General features: G+C 41.9%; 1 protein-coding gene across 10 annotated transcripts in view; it reads right to left on the bottom strand.

Moving 5' to 3' along the window:
* RCAN3 (RCAN family member 3) overlaps nucleotides 1–23,785 on the bottom strand; it is a 38,697-nt gene that overhangs the window by 10,190 nt on the left and 4,722 nt on the right. For 7 of the 10 annotated variants that reach the window (NM_001251979.2, NM_013441.4, NM_001251977.2 and 4 more), the window contains one exon: nucleotides 16,284–16,537. The exons of 2 other annotated variants lie outside the window; for them this stretch is intronic. In NM_001251979.2, coding sequence (NP_001238908.1) covers nucleotides 16,284–16,478 — 195 coding nt within the window. In that variant the 5' untranslated portion in view covers nucleotides 16,479–16,537. Of the gene's footprint in view, nucleotides 1–16,283; nucleotides 16,538–23,122; nucleotides 23,258–23,785 lie in introns of those variants that run through there. One more of the 10 variants, NM_001251978.1, reaches the window with a different exon arrangement.

Below are 23,785 nucleotides of genomic sequence, written 5' to 3'. Positions count from 1 at the left end.
TTTAGTAGAGATGGGTTTCACCATGTTGGCTAGGCTGGTCTTGAACTCCTGACCTCAAGTGATCTGTCCACCTGGGCCTCCCAAAGTGCTGGGATTACAGGCGTGAGCCACCAAGCTGGGTCGTGCACTTATTTTAAATGTAATTAACTTTATTAAATATTGTCCATATTCAAAGGTTATAAAATGAATGCAAGATATAAGAGAATGATACAAACATGCCCAATTCTAGAACACTGCTATTGTTCTGATGTCCCCGGTGGGACAAGGTTGGTTTTTCCCTCTGTCACATTCCTTTCCTCCTTCAAAGTTGTCATTTCTGGAATTTTATCATTCCCTTGCTTTTCTTTAGAGTTTACAACATCTATTTGTATCTCTAAAAATGTTATCATGTTATAGGTATTCTTCCACAACTTGCTTTTTTTGCTTAGATCTTGCTCCTGAGGTTCTCCCTTGCTGTTGTGTGTGACTGTCTTTTTTTTTTTTTTTTTTTTTTTGGAGATAAGAGTCTCACTCTGTTGCCCAGAATGAGGTGCAGTGGTACAATCTTGGCTCACTGCAGCCTCAACCTCTAGGGTTCAGGCAATCCTCCTGCCTCGGCTTCTTGGGTAGCTGGGACTATAGGCACCTGCCACCACATCCAGCTAATTTTTTGTATTTTTAGTAGAGATGGGGTTTTGCCACATTGCCCAAGCTGGTCTCAAACTCCTTGGGCTCAAGTGATCTATCCTCCTTGACCTCCCAAAGTGCTGGGATTATAGGTATGAGCCACTACACCCAGCAAGACATCCATTTCTAAGTACTGTTTCAGCTGTTCTCCACCAGTTCGTTTAATTTTGTTTTGTTTTTTTTTTTGAGATGGGGTCTTGCTATATTGCCTAAGTTGGGCTCAAGTGATCCTCCTGCCTCAGCCTCCCAAATAGCTGGGAGTAGAGGCACGTGCTACCACACCCAGCACCTGAACAGTTTTGATATGTTTTATTATTTATTTTTTAAAATAGAAGGCAGGGCACAGTGGCTCAAGCCTGTAATCCCAGCACTTTGGGAGGCTGAGGTAGGCGGATCACTTGAGGTCAGGAGTTCAAGACCAGCATGGCCAACATGGTGAAACCCTGTCTCTACTAAAAATATAAAAATTAGCCGGGCATGGTGGTGGGCGCCTGTAATCCCAGCTACTCGGGAGGCTGAGATGGGAGAATTGCTCGAACCTGGGAAGCGGAGGTTGCAGTGAGCCAAGATCCTGCCACTGCACTCCAGCCTGGGTGACAGAACGAGACTCTGTCCTAAAAAAAAAAAAAAAAAAGAGAGACAGAGTCTCTCTGTCACCCAGGCTGGAGTGCAGTGGTGTGATCAGAGTTCACTGCAGCCTCAAACTCCTGGGCTCAAGCCACCCGCCCCTACTTCAGCCTCCTGAGTAGCAGGCACCACCACAACTGGCTTTTTTTCTTTTTTTTTCTTTTTTTAAATGAGATGAAGTCTCGCTATGTTGCGCAGGCTGGTCTCAAACTCCTGAGCTCAGGCAATCTTCCTACCTTGCCCTCCCAAAATGCTGGGATTACAGGCATGAGCCACCATGCCTGGCCACACCTGGCTAATTTTATTTTATTTTTGTACAGACACAGTCTCAATGTCTTGCCCAGGCTGGTCTGGAACTCCTGGGCTCAAGCATCCTTCTGCCTGAGCCTCCCAAAGTGCTGGGATTAAAGACGTGAGCAACTGCGCCAGTTGATTCTAAATACTCTCTAATTTCCCTTATGATCTCTCCCTGTCTCATGAATTATTTAGATGTATGTTTCTCAAATTGCAAATAGATGGGAGTTTTTTATCTTTTTAATGTCTAACTCATTTTCCCTCTGATTGGAGTAGGCTATCCACAGTGATAGTAATCCTTTGACAGTTTGAGGCTTGCTTTTGGTTCAGTGTCATCAAATTTCATAAATCTACATGTGCTTACAAAGAGTGTGTTTGCGCAGCTGTTTGGTACAGTATTATAAACATGTTCAGTATATCCAGCTCCTGTGCTTTACAAGTTCTATATCCTGATTTTTTGGGGGTCTGTTTCAACTATTATCAGGAAAGATCTATTAGATTCTCCCACTATTAGGTGGATGTGTTATTTTTTCGTACATTTGGTCACTTTCGCTTCCTACCTTTTAAGGCTAAGTTATCATGTGCATACAAGCTTATGATTTTTTTCTCTTCCTGGTGAATGGAACTTTTAATCATTAGGTAGTGACCCTCTTCGTCTTCCAGATAAAGGAATGCCCTTTGTCTTAAAGTCTATTTTGTCTGGCATTAATATAGCTGGTGTAGCTTTCTTTTGATTATGTATTGCATGGAGATCAATTTTCAGCCTTTACTTCTAACCTTTCTGTATCCTTATGTTTTAGATATGCCTCATAAAAAGAATACATGTGTGTATAATGCATGTGTGTGCCTGTATGTAAATAAACACAGTTTGACACTCACTGTCTTTTCACTAGAGGAACTAGTCCATTGTTGATTACTGATATTTTGGGATGTCTACCATCTTATTTTATCTGTTTGTCTCAGATTTTCTGTGTTCATTTCCTTTTTCTTTTTTTCTTTTTTTTTTTTTCTTTTTTTCCAACTATTTTTTCTCTTTCTCTATTTTCCTCCCCTGAATGAAATTCCCATGAAAGATGCTAATGTACGTTTGGCAACTTCTTTAAAGATGCCTAACTCCCTATAGCCACAGTTTCTCTTTCACAAAGGCAAAACAATCAAACCTTTTTCTCAAAATTCATACTGGGACTATGTAATTCCACAAAAAATGCATTTTGGGGTGAAAAGCATTGGAAGAATATCTGAGCACAAATTATTTTATATAATTTGCAGTACGTGTATATCTCCTGAGTATTTTGAGATGGACTAGAGAAAAAGAAAGAGAGCAATATTTGAGTCGTTCATGAGGCTGAGAAAAAAATTATTTTCCCATTTATTAATGAATTGGGATAATGAAAAGCCTAATTTCAATCACTAGAAGAAAAGCAACATTAAATTTTCTTTACAGAAAACATATTTAGGCAATAGTTTAATAAATGAAATGCAATAAAATGGATCCAAGAAACTTCTCAATACCTTTAGAAATATTCCTTAGGCTTGGCAATGGTAACACAATAAAAGGAACCTATAAATTAGCTTTGTTCTTGCTTCGCCTATGTAAAGATCTTTCAATGATCTGTTGATCCTGAAGTGCAAATTATACACTCCCTCATTTATTAACTTCTCTCAATTTGAACATTTACCTGCCACTTTGCAACATTTCTCCAACTAGATAAAATATAAAATAATTTGTGCACCAATATTTATTCTTCCAGTGTTCAAATATCCTTCATTATTGAGGAAACATCATTTATCCTAAAAACTATGTATTTTTTGTCAATTCATTTAAAAAAATATATTATGTCAGACCTTCTACTCAGTCTGGCTTTTCAGTGGACTGCAAGCTGCTTCCAGCAGGGGGCAGTTTTAAGATTAATCCTACTCTTATTTACTATCGTGTTTCCATATATTAAAGTAATACAGAAAGCCATGCGCGGTAGCTCACGCCTGTATTCCCAACACTTTGGGAGGCAGAGGCAGGCGGATCAACTTCGAGACCAGCCTGGCCAATGCGGTGAAACCCCATCTCTACTAAAAATGCAAAATTACACACCTGTAGTCCTAGTTACTCTGGAGGCTGAGACATGAGAATTGCTTGAGCCTGGGAGGCAGAGGTTGCAGTGAGCCAAAATGACGCCACTGCACTCCAACCTGAGTAACAGAGCAAGACTGTCTCAAAAAAAAGTAATATACATAAATAACAAAATATTATATAGATATAGTAAGGATTTTAAAGTAGCATATCAGTTCTTAAAAGGGAAGGTGAATATGTAAGTATATTAAATGCTGATAATTATTATTGCTTCTGGATACATTTCAAAGTTTCTTTAGCATCCATTTCAAAGGTGGCTAGCTTTGTCGCTTTTAAAGAGAATTAGAATTGAGATTTTGCAAAATCACATCCCATTTGGTTCTTGGTATTAGCTTATTTTAAATGTATTTTAAACATTAAGAAAATACTAAAATTCCTATGTGAGATAGTTAAGAAATATTAACATTGAACACAATGGAAATTAAGGAAGAACTAATTAAGAAAGAATAGCTTATAAAATATTAGTACTTTGTAATTCTGTACATTAAACATTTTCCTTGCCCAAGGGAAAAGGCTCATGTATTATCCCTAGCCCCCCACAACGAATTCTTCCTAGTACCAACGCATCGTATGACAGAAGCTATCTTGCAAACAGTTACTTGATAATCATATCCTTCTTCCCATTTCCCTTCAAGATAATTTTTTTTTCAAATTCCAGAAATACACTGTAACTGAATGTAACATGCAGATGACAGCAATGGGTTATACGGCGCTCTCTCTCTCTCTCTTCCAAAATCCAATACCTGTGATAGGATTAAGAATTATAACAAAATGGCCAGGCACAGTGGCCCATTCATCCTAGCACTGTGGGATGCCAGGAACTTGAGACCAGCCTGGACAACACTGCAAGACCCCATCTCTACAAACAATTAAATAATTAGCCAGGCATGGTGGCATACGCTTGTAGTCTTATCTACTCGGTTGGCTAAGGTGGGAAGATTGCTTGAACCCAGGAGTTCGAGGCCGCAGTGAGCCACAATCTCACCACTGTACTCCAGCCTGGGCAACAGAGTGAGACCCTGTCTCTCTCTCTTAAAAAGAATTATACAAAAATGAAGCCATGCAAGAACCGATTAGCAAGCTTTTACTGAGTTTTGTGTTCTTTCTCTCTCCTCCACACCCATTTTCCCCTTGAAGTAGCATAAATATGGTTATGAAATACGTGAATTCTAGCTGTGAGGTGCTTTGGAAGCATGAAGAATTAACTTGGAGGCAAAACCATCAGTTTCCTATTTGTGAAAAATGGTTACGAGCCCTCAGCTGGTAGCTTTGCCCTTCTGTGAGTCCACAGACATCCCCATGTAGATTCCTGAGGCTGCCCCTGATAACCCGGCATTAGCACGAAAGGGATTTAGAAGATTGCAGACGGCAGGGGAAGGACATAATCTATGAAAATGGACTGAAAATGACTTGCGATAAACAGGAAGGATCTGCAGCTGTTCATTCAAAAACCAAATGACTATTTTTCTCCTTAGAATTATTTCAGAAATAGCTCACTTTTAGAAATTTCTGAATTCTCTAATGATATAAAATTAACATCATCCTGTTGGGTGATGGCCGCATATTTATTTGAGAAAAGATAATGGGGATTCCATTAAAATAAAAATCATCATTAACCACTTAACTTTTTCTGTAGTCACTTAGTATCCCCCTCTGGCAGCACAACGTCTACAGGCATAACACAAACAATGCAGCCTAAAAACCAATGCCTGAGGCTTTTTCCTATGATGTAAGTAGGTTTTCCACAAAATACAGACCAGAAGCTGCCTTCATATGCTAAGATCACCTGTGCAGTTAGTCAGTCATCAAAATGACAGTACATACCTTGTACCTAAAATAGCTAAGAACAACACATAACCATCAACCTTCTTGGGAACTTAAGAAAGAGTGCTTGACAGCTGGATAATAGGCATCAGTAAAGGAGAAAAGTGGAAAAGGCCATATGGGAAGGTCAGTTTCAAGGAGCAACAGATGAGGATGGCAGCCAAGTGTGTATTTCCTGACCTTTCTGGATCCACCATGGCTCCACTCTGTTGCCCCATCCCAATTCGGAGAAGGCAAGGTTTAGCTGTTTCACTGAAGAACAAACTGGGAACATGATTTTGCCACACACCTTTGCTTTGGACTGAAAAAAAAATGAGGAGCCCACCACTTCTATTAAACATTAAAGAGTGGGAGGACGGGAGACTGATGCACGAGAATTGCTTGAACCTGGGAGGCGGAGGTTGCAGAGAGCTGTGATTGTGCCACTGCACTCCAGCCTGGGGAACAGAGCGAGACCCTGTCTCAAAAAAAAAAAAAAAAAAACAAAAGAAAACAAAATAAACAGAGTAGGAGGAACGATTTTACTCTTGAGAAGGAATGGCTTGATCCATTCAGCAGTGAAATTATCTTTAGCATCCTAAGGCAAGAGATTTATATTCTACGTCTTTCTGTAAATCTGATCTAGAAAATTCCATTTCTCCAGTGTCCAGAGCCTGCAGGTCCACTAATATCAAAGGCAAGGCCTCCATTTCTGCCTGGGGGTAGGCAAAGTGCTTTTGGTTCTCATCAATCACCACTGACTAAAACAGCCAGAGAGATGGACTTTACTAAACAGAAAAAAGTGCACATACAGCTAGACATGGTGAATTTAAAAACTTTACTTTGATAATCTGAGTACTTGTAAAATTCTGGGACCTACAGTCAAAAGTGCTAGAGGGGAGCAGAATATATGAAAAATGCAAAAACCTTTGATAACCTTTATTATTTATGTTGCCATCATCATTTTTCCAGATCAGAAAGAAACCTGTAACTGAATTAAAATTCAAGAAAATATGGAATGCTAGCTATTCAAGATGGATTTTTATGTTTTAATGGCTACTGTATTTATAAACACAAACTCTGACTTATTGGAACTCCTTATTTTTTATCTTTTTTTCTCAGTCTCTCAGGCTGGAGTGAAGTGGCGCGATCTTGGCTCTCTGCAACCTCTGCCTCCCAGGTTCAAGCGATTCTCCTGCCTCAGCCTCCCAAGTAGCTGGGATTACAGGCGTGCACCACCACTATGCCCAACTCACTTTTGTATTTTTAGTACAGATGGGGTTTTGCTATGTTGGCCAGGCTGGTCTCGAACTCCTGACCTCAGGGTGATCCACCCACCTCGGCCTCCCAAAGTGCTGGGATTACAGGCCTGTGCCACCACGCCTGGCCAATATATAAAATTTTAAATGATGTAAAATACTATTTATTTCATTAGTGTTTTAGCATACAGTTTAGCATATAATTTTCAGCATACAGATCATACACATATTTTGTTAATGTATACTTAAGCTACAAATATCGTTGAAGGTAATTGAAGATGCTTATCTCAAAATATATTACATTATTTCATGGCCAGGCATGGTGGCTTGCTTGAACCCAGGAAGGGGAGGTTGCAGTGGGCCGAGATTGTACCACTGCACTCCAGCCTGGGAAACAGAATGAGACTCCATCTGAAGAAAAAAAATATATATGTGTGTGTGTGTGTGTGTGTGTGTGTGTGTGTGTGTGTATTAGAAATAATATAGATTTGATATACCTTTATATATGTGTGTGTATACATATTTGTGTAAATATATGTGTATATATATTTAGGGATTTTGAAATATCCATAGATATTTCAATTTCCAAATGTTTACTGTTACAGAGACAGTTGATTTTGGACATTGACCCCACATCCTGCAATCTTCCTAAACTCACTTATTCGTTCTAACAGCTTTTATGTAGATTCCGTTCTAAAGAGACAATCATGTCGACTCCAAATACAGATAATTTAAAATCCCAGCACTTTGGGAGGCCAAGGCGGGCGGATCACCTGAGGTCAGGAGTTCGAGACCAGCCTGGCCAACATGGTGAAGCCCCGTCTCCACTAAAAATACAAAAAATTAGCCGGGCGCAGTGGCAGGTGCCTGTAATCCCAGCTACTCGGGAGGCTGAGGTAGGAGAACTCTTTGAACCCGGGAGGTGAAGGTTGCAGTGAGCTGAGATTGCGCCATTACACTCCAGCCTGGGCAACAGAGTGAGACTCTGTCTCAAAAAAAAAAAAAAGTGTGTGTACATACACACAGAATATCAGGCTCAATCAGAAGAAATGCTGATATTTGACCACTTTTGACCAACAAATATAGCAATTTCATATGGTTCAACCTATTAAAGTTTACAGATTTCGTGGAAAATGAGAAACCTGAGTTCAGGATGATGGTTATCTCTGGGAGGAGACATGGGATTCAACTGTATTAGTAAAATTTTATTTGCTAAATTGGGTGGGCACGTGGGTGTTTTTTATATTAGTCTATCCTTTTTGCATAACCTAAAAATTGCCTTTTTTATTTTGAGAGTCTGGAACAGCGCCTTACATAAGAGGAATAACCATAACCAAACTTGGAAGCGTTACCTGTGCCTTACCTGGGCTCCTTGGAGAAGCAGAGGCAAGGCAAAGGCACACACGCTGAGTGTTTGTTTTGGGAAGTGACCCCATGAGACAAGCGTGGAGGCCTGGGAACAGTGGCACCGGGAAGGAGGGCAAGCCCATTCTCTGTCCCTCCAGGTCGCGTTTTCAAGCTGGTCACCTCTGTGGGCAACTGGGGCTTGATCTGCTGGGGAGCCAGTAAGAACCTGCCTGAGAACTGTTGGCTTCAGTGTCAGAACACAGAGGAGCTTATTCACCGGGTTTAGTTTTCCACTGGTTGAGGGCTACCCTATGGGACTTTAACTCCCTCATGCTTCCAAGTCTGTGCATGCATCAATAAGGCTGAGCATCCTTGTTCAGGCAGCACAGAAATGCTGGGATGGAAAGACACGGCAGCTCAGGCCAGGTGTGAGGTCACACCTGCACACAGCTGGCTGCTCCAGCAATGACTAGGTGAAAAGAGGGTTAAAGTGGAGCCAAACAGGTGTCCAATACATACATACCGCACACACATGTGTGTGTATAAATATATGTATGTGTATATTTAAAAATATATTCTTGGTATATACATATTACCAAGAACACTAAACTCAAGAAAAATAGGCTCTTTTTGCATTATTTTTATTGTGGTCAAATATACAAAACACAAAATTTATCATTTAACCATTTTTAAATGTACAAGTCAGTGGTATTAAGTACAGTCTTACTGTGTGACCATCACCACTATCTGTCTCCTGAACTTTTCCATCATCCCATACAAGCTCTCAATACATTAAACTGTAAATATTTTCCCCACCCCCCCCAGCAACCAATATTCTATTTTCTTTTTTAAAAAAATTTTTTTTGTTTGTTTGTTTTTGAGACAGAATCTCACTTTGTCACCCAGGCTGGAGTACAATGGCACGATCTCAGCTCACTGCAACCTCCACCTCCCAGGTTCAAGCGATTCTCCTGCCTCAGCCTCCCGAGTAGCTGGGACTACAGGCGTATACCACCATGCCCAGCTAATTTTTGTATTTTTAGTAGAGGTGGGGTTTCATCATGTTTGCCAGGCTGGTCTCGAACTCCTGACCTCAGGTGATCTACCTGCCTTGTATTCCCAAAGTGCTGGGATTACAGGCGTGAGCCACTTTGCCCAGCCTAAATGATACTTTTAAAAGCATGCTATTATGAGCTGTGCCATAGAGGGTAGCACAGTTCCAGCACATAGAGGAGCCTTCTCTCTGAAGATGCTACTGCATCTTCTAAGAGTTTTATAGTTTTAATTCTAACGTTTAAGTCTTTGGTTTTTTGTTTTGTTTTGTTTTAGGAGATGGGGTCTCACTACGTTTCCAGGCTGGCCTCAAACTCCTGCGCTCAAGCAATTTTCCCACCTCAGCCTCCTGAGTAGCTTGATCCATTCTAATTTTTTATTTGATATAAAATAAGGATGCAACTTCATTCTTCTGCATGTGGATTTCAGTTTTCCCAGCACCTTTTGTTGAAAAGAGACTGTCCTTTCACCCACAGAATAGTCTTGGAACCTTTGTTGAAAATCATTTGACCATATATACAAAGGTTCGTCTCTGGGCTTTCTATTCAATTCCATCCATCTCTATGTTTGTCTTTATGCCAGTACCACACTGTTTTGATTACCATGGCTTTATACTAAAGTTTTGAAATCAGGAAGTGTGCATCCAACTTTGTTCTTTGTTTTCAAGACTGTTTTGGCAATTTGGGATTCCTTGAGGTTCTATATGAATTTCAGGGTAGGTTTTCTATTTCTGCAAAAAAAATCATTGGGATTTTGATAGGGATTGAGTTGAATCTGTAGAGCACTTTAGGTAGTACTGACATCTTTTAATTTTATTTTATTTTATTTTTATTTTATTATTATTATACTTTAAGTTTTAGGGTACATGTGTACAACGTGCAGGTTTGTTACATATGTATACATGTGCCATGTTGGTGTGCTGCACCCATTAACTCGTCATTTAGCATTAGGTATATCTCCTAATGCTATCTCTTCCCCCTCCCCCCACCCCACAACAGTCCCCGGAGTGTGATGTTCCCCTTCCTGTGTCATTGTGTTCTCATTGTTCAATTCCCACCTATGAGTGAGAACATGCAGTGTTTGGTTTTTTGTCCTTGCGATAGTTTGCTGAGAATGATGGTTTCCAGTTTCATCTATGTCCCTACAAAGGACATGAACTCATCATTTTTTATGGCTGCATAGTATTCCACGGTGTATGTACTGACATCTTAATGTTATTAAGTTTTCCAGTCCATAGATACGGATGTCTTCCCCTTTATTTGTGCCTTCTTTAAATTTCTTTCAACAACGTTTTGTAGCAATGTCTATAACTCTAAACCCACTGTATAAAATACAGACTTGACTAGGATTTCTTAATTCTAAACTATGATTCTCTAGTATTTAATTGAGCCTCAAAGCTAACTAAATTACTAATTCTTGGCCAGAACAGCACTATAAAACCAATTAAACAAACACTTAGTGAAACCTTAGGATGTTTCATGCTCTGTTAAAAACACAGTTAACTATAACAGAGATATTCTTCCTTTGAATCCTCTTTTTTAATTCCCAAATTTAAAACATCACTTTCCTTAAAGGATTCTACTTTTTCTGGGCTGAAGGCTATGCTAGAATGTACAAACAATTGATTTAGTCTAAAAATCATAAGATCACTTCACTCAGCTTCCAAATATCATTTACTTTTCTTAAATAATATTTTTGATACTTCTTTAAATGGAAGGTACAGAATCAAAGCTTGAAAGGAAGATTTAAATTGTGCATATGATTATACAAGCCACAAAAGAATTTAGGCCAGTGTATCTGGGAGCATAATTTCAGATTAAATCTCCTACGTACTATTTTGCCTCACTCAGCTCACAATTCTGTTTCTCGATCATAGCATTGCATCACTAAGCCTCAACAACCATCTTACAGAATCCATTCATTCAACAAACATTTAACAGGTGTTGCTTTGCACTGGGAACTCAATGAGATGCTCAGTGTCACCCATCACAGAGCAGGACAGCAGAACAAGTAGTGATGTCTTAATATCCCTCAACCACCATAATCAGAAACACAAATCAAATGTCCTATGGTGAGGAGGTCAGATAAACAGTTTTATATACAAAGGGCAGTACTTTGCAAGGGGACTAGATTCTACTGCATTTCTTTGTACAGGATGTCCTGCTGAGAAGACTGCTAACACTAACATTTACTGAGTCCCCTCAAACACCAAGACCTAAGGCAGAAAAAAACAGTCCCATTTCTCATGTTATAAAAACCTAAATTATATTTTGAAAACTCCTCATGTTCAAACCAGAAGCAAGATTAATTTGCTTCTGGAGGGGTCAGGCATGGTGGATCACACCTATAATCCCAGCACTTTGAGAGGCAGAGGTAGGAGGATCGCTTGAGCCCAGGAGTTTGAGACCAGTCTGGGCAACATAGCAAGACCTTGTCTCTTAAAAAAAAAAAAAAAAAACATCAGGCCAGGCACAGTGGCTCACGCCTGTAATAACAGCACTTTGGGAGGCTGAGATGGGCAGATCACTTGAAGTCGAGAGTTTGAGACCAGCTTGGCCAACATGGCGAAACTCTATCTCTACTAAAAATACAAAAATTAGCTGGTTGTAGTGGCATGCACCTGTAGTCCCAGCATTTTGGGAGGTCAAGGCAGGCAGATCATCTGAGGTCAGGAGTTTGATACCAGCCTGGCCAACAGGGTGAAACCCTGTCTTTACTAAAAATACAAAAAAATTAGCCGAGCATGGTGGTGGATGCCTGTAATCCTAGCTACTTGGGAGGCTGAGGTGGGAGGATTGCTTGAACCCGGGAGGCAGAGGTTGCACTGAGCTGAGACTGCACCACTGCACTCCAGCCTGGGTGACAGAGTGAGACTCCATCTCCAAAATAAATAAATAAATAAATAAATAATAAATTAGCTGGATGTGCTGGTGCATGCCTATAGTCCCAGCTACTCGAGAGGCTGAGGTAGGAGGATTGCTTGAGCCCAGGAGGTCAAGGCTGCAGTGACCTATGATCATGCCACCACATTCCAGCCTGGGTGACAGAGCAAGACCCTGTTGCTTTTTTAAAAGACAGAGAAAAAAAAAAACTGGGGTTAAAGACAGCAAACAAGCAAATACAATCACATTGGGACAAATCCAAATCTGTCAAAGAAAAATGAAGCACTAAGCCTGTCGCACTCCTGATGGAGCTATTGATTAGCAGAGTACATGCATAAAATTAACAACCCTATAGCTGAGAAATATACATTGAAAGATAAGTCCTTTTCTCCACCTATTTTTCTTACAGTTTATTTTTCTATGATTTATTATCCCTCCAACACTATTTTTAAGAAATATTGATAAAAACATAGAGCCAAAATCTAATGATCTAGAGCAAAGATTACATTTACATGATAATGGCACCTGTGTTATTTATTCTACTATTCGGAAGAATGTAAAAGCTTACTCCAATAGTTAGAAGCTTATAAAGACAAAAACTTTTTCAAGCTGGGAAAAAAAAATTTTTTTATAGAGATGGGGTCTTGCTATGTTGGCCAGGCTGGTCTCGAACTCCTGGGTTCAAGCAATCCACCTGCCTCGGCCTCCCAAAGTGCTGGGACTATGGGTGTGAGCCAATGTGCCCAGCCAGAAATTATTTTTTGAAATTAAAGTGTTTAATTGCAATCGGGATTATTCTGCCTGTAATCCAACAAAAGCAACTGTTTTATTTTTTGCACATTCATAGATAACCTGAATAAACAGCTGATTTCAGGAGAAACTACAACAAAATAAGACACTGATAGAAGAAAAATGTAAAGGAAACATTTGATTCTGCCCATATCTTAAAAAATGTTTCTTTAATAGAAACGAGGTCTCACTCTGTTGCCCAGGCTGGTCTCAAACTCCTGGTCTCAAGCGATCCTCTTGCCTTGGCCTCCCAAAGTGCTGGGATTACAAGCATGAGCCATCATATCTGGCCTTGATTCTGTCCATATTTTATATCCAACTGATGATCTATAGATAACCATAATATAAACATTTTATATTTTGTCATTTCAGATATTACTGTTAAGGGTATTAAATACAATTTACTAGGAAGTCCGCTGAACTGCTGTTATTAGAATTTCTGCTGGGATGATTTCCAGTATAAATTTACGTTAGATATAATCCCCAAATGGTTTAAAAAATGAAACCCAACAAGGACCCACCCTTTTTGCAGGTTAAAAATTTCCCAGGCTACAGTTAAAAAGAAAAGGTTGAAATAGAAAAGATTGGCCGGATACGGTGGCTCACGCCTGTAATACCAGCACTTTGGGAGGCCAAGGTGGGCAGATCACTTGAGGTCAGGAGATCAAGACCAGCCTGGCCAATGTGGTGAAACCCCATCTCTACTAAAAATACAAAAAAATTAGCCGGGCATTGTGGCATGTGCCTGTAATCCCAGCTACTCAGGAAGCTGAGGCAGGAGAATTGCTTGAACCTGGGAGGCGGAGGTTGCAGTGAGCCGAGACTGCGCCATTGCACTCCAGCCTTCCAGCCTGGGAGGCAGAGAAGGACTCCATCTCACCAAAACAAACAAACAAACAAAAAAAAAACAAAAAAAAACAAAAAAATAGAAAAGATTGTGACGTTTCTTGAGAGAATTCCTACATATATAATTTTAACATAAATTGGCAATTCATCTGGTTTTTTACAACAATAAACAACAAGGTTAACTTATTTATAACATAAAAACTTAGAGCTCTTAGCATGAAACTCAAAAGGATGATTTCAAAATGTCTAAATTATGACTGAACTTGGGAAAGCAAATAGCATTTGTAAATGAAACAACCCTGAAAGACACAAAGTTGGCGAGTGCAGCCCCCTTCCCTGCTCCGCTTGGGGTGGGTCATCTCCAGGCGGGTGCAATCCGAGAGCTCCCTGGCTCCCTGCTCTGCCCTCTTCTCCCATCACTCTGCCATCCACGTGCTGTGGGCTGAGCTTCCTGACGTGGAGCTCTGATGGCCGCTCTGTGCTCAGAAACCCTCCGACCGTTTCCCACAAAAGGACAAGCTCCTGAGCTAGATGTTCATGAGATTTTGCTGGGTGGCCGCATACTCACTCTTCTAGTCCGATTTCTCCTGACTCTGGCCAAATATCAGCTATGTGCTAAGCACACAGAATGGCTTGCTACTCCCGAAATGGCCCACACTCTCCCGATTCAGCTCTTTTCTCATTCTGTTCCCCGTGGCCAAAATTCCCTTTCCCTTCCCTGCTAAAATCCTACCCAGCTCTCACAGCCCTTCTCCAATGCCACCTCCCTGTGAGATCTTTTATTCCAACTGGCTGTGATCCTTCCTCCTTTCTTACCTCAACGCACTATTTAAATTATTATTATTATTTTATTTTATGGAGATGGGGTCTCGCTATATTGCCCAGGCTGGTCATGAAACCCTGGGCTCAAGTGATCTGCCCGCCACAGCCTCCCAAAATGCTGGGATTACAGGCGAGAGCCACTGCGCCTGGCCCTGTTCTTTCAAGTGTTTCTTTCTTTCTTTTTTTTTTCTTGAGACTGAGTCTCGCTCTGTTGCCCAGGCTGGAGTACGCTGGCGCAATCTCCGCTCACTGCAACCTCTGCCTCCCAGGTTCAAGCGATTCTCCTGTCTCAGCCTCCTGAGTAGCTGGGATTACAGGCACCTGCCACCACGCCCAGCTAATTTTTGTATTTTTAGTAGAAACGGGGTTTCACCATGTTGGTCAGGCTGGTCTGGAACTCCTGACCTCGTGATCTGCCTGCCTTGGCCTCCCAAAGTACTGGGACTACAAGCATGAGCCACCACGCCCGGCCACTTTCAAGTGTTTCTAAAGGCACTAAGATTCCATTTGATAACATAATTGCTTGTCATCCCTGCTGCCTGGCCTTGATTCTGCTGCAGGGCTGGACACCATGAGGCAGAAGCTGCATGACTCACACTCTATCCCCTGAAGCAACTGGCACCAGCGCCTGGCACACCGTAGGCACTCAAGTATGTCCTGAGTTAAACGGTATTGAAGTTCTGCTCCAAGAAAGTCATCGGAAGGGAAATATTTTGGGTACATCGGCTGAAAACTAAAGGGCCAGTGATAGGGTTTTGAGAAAAAGCTCAGAACAAGGAAGACACATCCCAGTGGCAGAGCTATTTTACTTTTGTGGGACTAAGACCTATAGCCTTTTGTGAGGTCATGACGGGGAAAAACAAAACAAAGCACACACACACACACACACACACACACACACACACACCTCTCTTTCTAGGTAAATAATAAATGAACTAAAGGAATCTTTAAAATAATAAGCTCAATCATTTTCCCCAGTTATAGAAACTAATACAAGAAACGTGAACAATTTTGTTACGACAAAATCATAAATAGTCCTAATAGGTTTTATGTAAATCAGCCCCAGGAAAAAGCTGAATTCCTTCTTTTGTGAATGCACTCCCAAGTAATAGGAAGCCCGGCTAAAGATCCCCAGGTTTTCTTTAATTGTAGTCTCCGAAAATGAATAAGTGAATAAATAAGTGAATGGATTGAATAAGACTTGACTCAGAGTTCACTAAATGCCAGTGCTTCTTAAAGTGTCTATGGAGAAGAACTGGTTTTGAAACATTTCCTAACTGCTGCAGACTGAAACTCTTCTAAAAATACAATAAAAATTCTGCGGCAACATCTAAAAGTGGACATACACTTTCTTTTTTTTTTTTTTGAGACAGAGTCTCACTCTGTCCCCCAGGCTTAAGTGCAGTGGCATGTTCTCAGCTCTTTGCAACCTCTGCCTCCCAAGTTCAAGTGATTCTCCTGCCTCAGCCCTGCGAGTAGCTGGGATTACAGGCGCGCACCACCACACCCGGCTAGTTTTTGCATTTTTAGTAGAGACAGGGTTTCTATATGTTGCCCAAGCTCGTCTTGAACTCCTGACCTCAGGTGATCTGCCCACCTCAGCCTCCCAAAGTGCTGGGATTACAGGTGTGAGCCAATGCGCCCGGCCTAAAAGTGGACATACACTTTCTATACTTAATTTGTCAGGGACCAGTCAAGCTCTGTTTCCCCAAATCCATACACATTTAACATGCTACAAATGTAGGGAAAGGGAGGATAGATGCCTACCTTCTGCTCTCGTGCCTCAAACACTGCTTCATGGACGCTGCAAGCAAAAAGTGAGGTAGGCAGATCACTTAAATCCATCATCTCATCCAAATCATCTTCATTTTCACCAAAAATCATCTCTTCTTCCTCTTCTTGGTCAGTGCTACACAGATCTGACTGGCTATCATTCCAAGATTTCATAGTGTCCCTCAGCATTATCCCCCAAAGTGGGCCTTTTCCTTCTGTATAGTCCTAGGATGTCTATCAGGCACCCACTGTTAAAAAAAAAGAAAATGCAGAGGTAAAACTCCGAAGACCAAATAATGTTCCAATCAATCAATGTCTCCAGGCTGCAATTCATCAAATGAAGCAATTTTATTTAGAACGATGAATCAATATTTAAATCAATGCATTACAGTCCTCGTAAGTGAATTCTAGATACGCTAATTTGATTTGCTTAGCATATTTTATGTAACATATTTCACTGGCAATGATTTATTAAGAAAAAAAGGCAAAACGTTTTCTAGTGAACCTAGGGAAAAAAGGGTAATATAAAATGAGATCATATCAATATGTATTCTAGTTTATAAGCAGTAGAAAGAAAAATGTGAACCAGAAGAGCCTCCACATATTTGTTTGGGGTTTTCCATCTACAACACTGTAACTGGCACAGCCAAATACAACCCACACTAATTCTCTCACCATCTGTACCCTGAAATATGGTCTGTGATGAGCTGACTCTACCTCTCCTAACCAATTTGTTCTTTTTGAATACACTTGAAAGAATTAAGTTACACAGAATCAAAAGCTGTCTATAAATTCAGTCTTTGTTAATGTTAGAAATATTTGCGGTAGGCAAAATTTAACACAGAAAATCAAAAAGAGGGCCAGGTACGGTGGCTCATGCCTATAATCCCAGCACTTTTGTTTTTGAGATGGAGTCGTGTTGTGTTGCCCAGGCTGGAGTGCAGTGGCGCGATCCCGGCTCACTGCAACCTCCGCCTCCCGGGTTCAAGCGATTTTCATGCCTCAGCCTCCACTACAGGCGTGTACCACCATGCCCGGCTAACTTTTTATATTTTTTTGGTAGAGATGGGATTTCACCATGTTGGCCAGGCTGGTCTCCAACTCCTAACCTCAGGTGATCTGCACACCTCAGTCTCCTAAAGTGCTGGGATTATGGGTGTGAGCCACCACATCTGGCCAATCCCAGCACTTTGGGAGGCTGAGGCAGTGATCAAAGGATCACTTCAGCTCAGGCGTTCAAGACCAGCCTGACAACATAGTGAGACCTTGCCCCTACAAAAAATTAAAGAAAATTAAAAAGGTGTCCTTTTTCTGAACTTTTTTTTGAGACAGAGTCTCGCTCTGTCACCCAGGCTGGAGTGCAGTGGCACAATCTCGGCTCACTGCAAGCTCCGCCTCCCGGGTTCACACCATTCTCCTGCCTCAGCCTCCCAGGTAGCTGGGACTACAGGCGCCCGACACCACGCTCAGCTAATTTTTTGTATTTTTAGTAGAGATGGGGTTTCACTGTGTTAGCCAGGATGGTCTCGATCTCCTGACCTGGTGATCCGCCCAACTCGGCCTCCTAAAGCGCTGGGATTACAGGTGTGAGCCACCGCGCCTGGTCCCTTTTTCCAAACTTTAAAAAATAACCAATTTTAAGGCAAATGTCTGGAGCTGACAGTGTCCCTGGGTGGAATAACAGGACAGAATCTGTCTCTCATAGGCTGTTTCTATGCATGTCTGCCTCTTCCAATGAAGTGCACATCACATGCACCAAGCAGAGAGCCTTGGACATGACACATTTCAAGATGCGGAGGCAGAATTTAATAAATACGTAGCAGGCACAGACAAACTAAGTGATTATGATTACTACCTCAATACCACCTGATTTGTGATTTTTCCCTTTTATTTCAAAGAACAGAAGGTCACAAATACATTGCTTACACACAGTATAATACAGAATGGTAATTATGGAATAAAAATAGTGAGGTTTTTTGGTATTCTACAATATCAATCAAGACTACTTCTAAGAAGTAAAATCTTTACTCATTTGTATATACATTTTCTGAGTGCCTACTGCTTGGTGTTGGGGAGTGAAGAAAACATGGTTCCTACCCTCAAGGCACTCCCAGCAAAGCCAGCATTTCTCCTCTTCAACAATGCTAAGCACCCAATCTCCTAAAGAACCTCGTTCCATCAGCTGTCAGCTGTACTTAATTTTTTTTTTTTTTGAGACAGAATTTTATCCTGTTGCCCAGGCTGGAGTGCAGTAGTACGATCTTGGCTCACTGCAACCTTCGTCTCCCAGGTTCAAGCCATTCTCCTGCCTCAGCCCCCCAAGTAGCTGGGACTACAGGCATGTGCTACCATGCCCGGGTAATTTTTGTATTTTTAGTAGAGACAGGGTTTCACATGTTGGCCAGGCTGGTCTCGAACTCCTGACCTTAAGTTATCCGCCCGCCTCGGCCTCCCAAAGTGTCAGCTGTACTTTCAATTTCTCCTTCTCCACTTGTTCCTCTTCCTCAGCAAACATGTGTTCCTGCGAGCCCTACCATCTGGATTCTACCCTCCCCTCATGCTCCCCCTAATTCTCCTTCACCTTCCTACCAGCTTCTGGGAAATGTGATCTCTTCTTGCCGTGCTCCCTCTGCTCTAGTCACTCCTGAATTAGGTGCAGTTTGGCCTCCACACTACCTTTTGGCTGCAGCTGTCCTCCTCATGGATGGCAACGGCTTCCCAACAGGCATCCCACATTTTATCATGCGTCACTTTATCACACTGCACTGCATTTTTTCCAAAGTGAAGGCTTGTCACAACCCTGCACTGAGCAAGTCTATCAGTACCGCTTTCAAACGGGATGTGCTCACTTCATGTCTGACATGTTCTGGTAATTCTCACAATATTTCAAATTTTTTCACTATTGTTTTATCTGTTATGGTGATCTGTGATCAGTGATCTTTGATGTTACCATTGTAATTGTTTTGGGGCACCATGAACTGCACCCATATAAGATGGCAGACTTAATCAATACATGTTGTGGGTGTTCCTAACCGACACGTGTTGTGGGTGTGCCTAATCAATACGTGTTGTGGGTGTTCTTCACCAATACACATGGGTGTTCTTAATCAACGAATACACGTCGTGGGTGTTCTTAATCAATGAATACACGTCGTGGGTGTTCTTAATCAATGAATACATGTTGTGGGTGTCCTTAACCAATACATGCTGTGGATGTTTTGTTTTTTTGTTTTGTTTTGTTTTGTTTCTGAGACGGAGTCTTGCTTTGTCGCCCAGGCTGGAGTGCAGTGGTGCTATCTTGGCTCACTGCAGCCTCCGCCTCCCGGGTTCAAGCGATTCTCCTGCCTCAGCCTCCCGAGTAGCTGGGACTACAGGTACACGCCACCATGCCCAGCTAATTTTTTGTATTTTTAGTATAGACAGGGTTTCACCATGTTGGCCAGGATGGCCTCAATCTCTTGACCTTGTGATCTGCCCACCTCGGCCTCCCAAAGAGCTGGGATTACAAGCGTGAGCCACCACGCCCGGCCATGGGTGTTCTTAATATTTGTTGTAGGTGTTCTAACTGCTTTACTGAGTGAGGCCATTTCCCCGACTCTCTCCCTCTCCTCGGGCTCCCTACTCTCTGAGACACGACAATATTGAAATTAGGCCAATTAATAAACCTTCAATGGCTTCTAAGTGTTCAAGTGAAAGGAAGCATCCTGAGTCTCTCACTTTAAATCAAAAGCCAGCAGTGATTAAGCCTGCTGAGGAAGATACGTCCCCAGAGGCCAAAAGCTAAGTCTCTTGCACCAATCAGTCAAGTTGTGAATGCAAAGGAAAAGTTCCCAAAGGAAATTAAAAGTGGTACTCCAGTGAACACACAAATGCTAAAAAGGCAAAAACAGACTTATCGCTGATACGAAAAGTCTGATTGGTCTAGATAGAAGATCAAACCAGCCACAACATTCCCTTAAACCAAAGTCTAATCCAGAGCAAGGCCCTAACTCTCTTCACTTCTATGAAGGATGAGAGAGCTGAGGAAGCTGAAGAAGAAAAGTCTGAAGCTAGTGGAGGTTGGTTTATGAGGCTGAAGGAAAGGAACTGTCTCTATAACATAGAAGTGCAAGGCGAAGCAGCAAGTGCTGATATGGAAGCTGCAGCAAGTTATCCAGAAGATCTAGCTAAGGTCATTGATGAAGGTGGCTACACTCAACAGATTTTCAATATAGACTAAGTAGCCTTCTATTGGAAGAAGATGCATCTAGGACTTTCATAGCTAGAAGTCAATGCCTGGCTTCAAAGCTTCGAAGGACAGGCTGACTCTTTTGTTAGCGGCTAACATAGCTGGTGACTTTAAGTTAAAGCCAATGCTCATTCACCATTCTAAAAATCCTATGGCCCTTAAGAATTGTGCTAAATCTACTCTGCCTGTGCTCTATGAACGGAACAATTCAGCCTGGATGACCGCACATCTGTTTATAGCATGGTTTACTGTACGTTTTAAGCCCATTCTTGAGACCTACTGCTAAGAAAAAAAGAGAGATCCCTTTCAAAACATTGTTCTCGTTGACAATTCGCTTGGTCACCCAGGAGCTCTGACAGAAATATACAGGGAGATGAATGTTCTTTTCATGCCTGCTAACACAATATCCATTCTGCAGCCCATGGATCAAGGAGTAACTTTGACTTTCAAGTCTTACTATTTTAAGAAATACATTTCGTAAGTATACAGCTGCCAGAGATAGCAATTCCTCAGATAGATCTGGGCAAAGTAAATGGAAAACTTTCTGGAAAGAAGTCATCATTCTAGATGCCATCCAGAACATTCGTGATTTATGGGAGGAGGTCAAAATCGCAACATCAACAAGTTGGGAAGAAGTTGGTTTCAACCCTCATGGATGACTCTGAGGTGTTCAAGACATCAGTGGAGAAAATAACTGCAGATGTGGTGGAAATACCAAGAGAACTAGAATTAGAAGCGGAGCCTAAAGATGTGACTGAATTCCTGCAATCTCAAACAAAACCTGAATGGAAGGGAGTTGGCTTCCTGTGAATGAGCAAAGAGGGTGGTCTCTTGAGATAAAATCTACTCCTGGGGAAGATACTGTAAACATTGTTGAAATGACAACAAAGGATTTACAATATTCCATAAACTTAGTTGATAAAGCAATGGCAGGGTTTAGAGGATTGGCTGCAATTTTGAAAGAACTTCTACTGTAGGTAAAATGCTATCAAACAGCATCACATACTACAGAGAAATCTTTCGTGAAATGCTGTTGTCTTATTTTAATAATTGCCACAGTCACCCCAAACTACAGCATCACCACCCTGATCAGTCAGCAGCCATCAACCTCAAGGCAAGATCTTCCACCAACAAAAAGATTACGACTTAATCGTTTGCATTATTTTTTGAGATGGGGTGGGGTCTCACTCTGTTGCCCAGACTCTAGTGCAGTGGCGTGATCATGTTCACTGTAGCCTTGACCTTCCCATGCTCAGGTGATCCCCCCACCTCAGCCTCCCAAGTAGCTGGAACTACAAGCACACACCACCATGTCCGGTTAATTTTTGTATTCTTTGTAGAGATGGGGTTTTGCCATGTTGCCCAGGCTGGTCTCAAACTCATGGGTTCAAGTGATCCACTCGCCTCAGCCTCCTAAAGTACTGGGACTATAGGTGTGAGCCACCACACCAACCGATCATTAGTATTTTTTAGCAACAAAGTATTTTTTAAATGAAGGTCTATAAATTTTTTTAAGACATATGCTATTGCACACTTAATAGACTATAGTATAGTGTAAACAAGACTTTTATATGCACTGGGAAACCAAAATTCGTGTGACCGGCTTTATTACAATTATCTGTAACGAAACCCGCGATATCCCCGAACAAGCCTGTAGTTGAAACCCAGTGTCAGGTCTCAGCCTATCTCTGTAGCACATGACCTGGCTGCCTATTCCATTCATTCTTAGACCTCCCTGTGTCCCTGCCTTCTGGGTCTTGCCTCTTCCTGGCCCTTCTTCCTCACCAGCTCTATCTTTTTTACTGCCTCTTTCTCCACATCCTCATCCTTTTTTCATCTTTCTCTCCTGCGTGACTTTATCCACACTGGAGTATTTAGCTGCCTAATCACCAGAGGTTCTCAACTAAGTTCCTGCCTCCCTGTGGTTCACACACACCTGTGTCAATACTGGCTCTCATTTCGTGCAACGACCTTAAGACAGGATGAATGTCACCAAAGTTGGGAGGGAAGCCAGAGCAGAACCTTGAGCAATAAAGAGGATGGGTAGTTTGGAAAAGTACCATGTCCCCAAGAGCCTGTGATCTACCTGTTGGTCTTTCCTGCCTACATACCCTGAAAATCAGTCATCCATATGGGTACATTCAAATTTATATACCAAGACTCACTCTCAATCCTGAGTTCTAGTCTTGTATTTTTCACTTTTTCTTTCTTTTTTTTTTGAGACGGAGTTTCACTCTTGTCCAGGCTGGGGTGCAGTGGCGCAGTCTCGGCGCAGTGGCGCGATCTCGGCTCACTGGCGCAATCTCGGCTCACTGGCAACCTCTGCCTCCAGGGTTCAAGCGATTCTCCTGCCTCAGCCTCCCGAGTAGCTGGGACTACAGGCACATGCCATCACACACCTAGCTAACTTTTTGTATTTTTAGCAGAGATGGGGTTTCATCATGTTGGTCAGGCTGGTCTCAAACTCCTGACGTCAGGTGATCCCCCCGTCTTGGCCTCCCAAATTGCAGGCGTGAGCCGCCACCACGCCTAGCCGTATTTTTCACTTTCTATTGAATATATCTATCTGGGTGGCCCACAGGTACAACAACTGTTTTTAACTTACTCATTTATCGTGCCAGAAATCTCCAATCTGGAAAGGGGCCCTGCGGAAGCGGGGCAGGGAGTGACAGTGTATCTCACTGTGGCTTTCATTAATCTTTTCTTCAAGACAAAGTTGTCAGGTGGACTTAGCTCTTACAGTGCTTGGTTCATTTTTCTGTTATACACTTACATTGTGATTATTTGTTTACAAATCACTCCTAGCTACAAGACTGTATCTGTGAAACCCCAGGCCCTGGCATAGTTTCCCGCTCACAGTGTATGCTTAATAAGGGAGGCTGAATAACAGCAGGTAGTATTTTAGTTACCCCACTGATATGTCAGCACAGACAAAGGTAAATTGAATTCTGCATGGGATTAGAGATAGCTTCCCAAGGAGGCAATGGTGAGACTTCAAGGATGAACAGAATTTCAGGAGGAAAAGAATGGGGAGCATTCCACACAAAGCCAGCAGGACATGAACAAAGGCAGGAAGACAGTAGGACCAGCATGCACAAAGGTCACGTGATCTGGCATGGCTAGGGTGCAAGGTGTTTGGTGGGGGTGGCATGAGACAGTCGGAAAGGCAGGTATGGGCCAGGTTGCCAAGCAAGTAGGGTTACAGAGTTTTGACACAAAAACCATGTCAATATCAGCATGCCATTGTGGGTTTTTAGGCAGGGAAATG

The sequence above is a fragment of the Homo sapiens genome, chromosome 1 (genome assembly GCF_000001405.40).
Source record: "Homo sapiens chromosome 1, GRCh38.p14 Primary Assembly".
NCBI classification, from domain to species: domain Eukaryota; kingdom Metazoa; phylum Chordata; class Mammalia; order Primates; family Hominidae; genus Homo; species Homo sapiens.
Note: the sequence above shows the minus strand (reverse complement) of the source record. Positions and strands in the feature narration are given on the sequence as shown.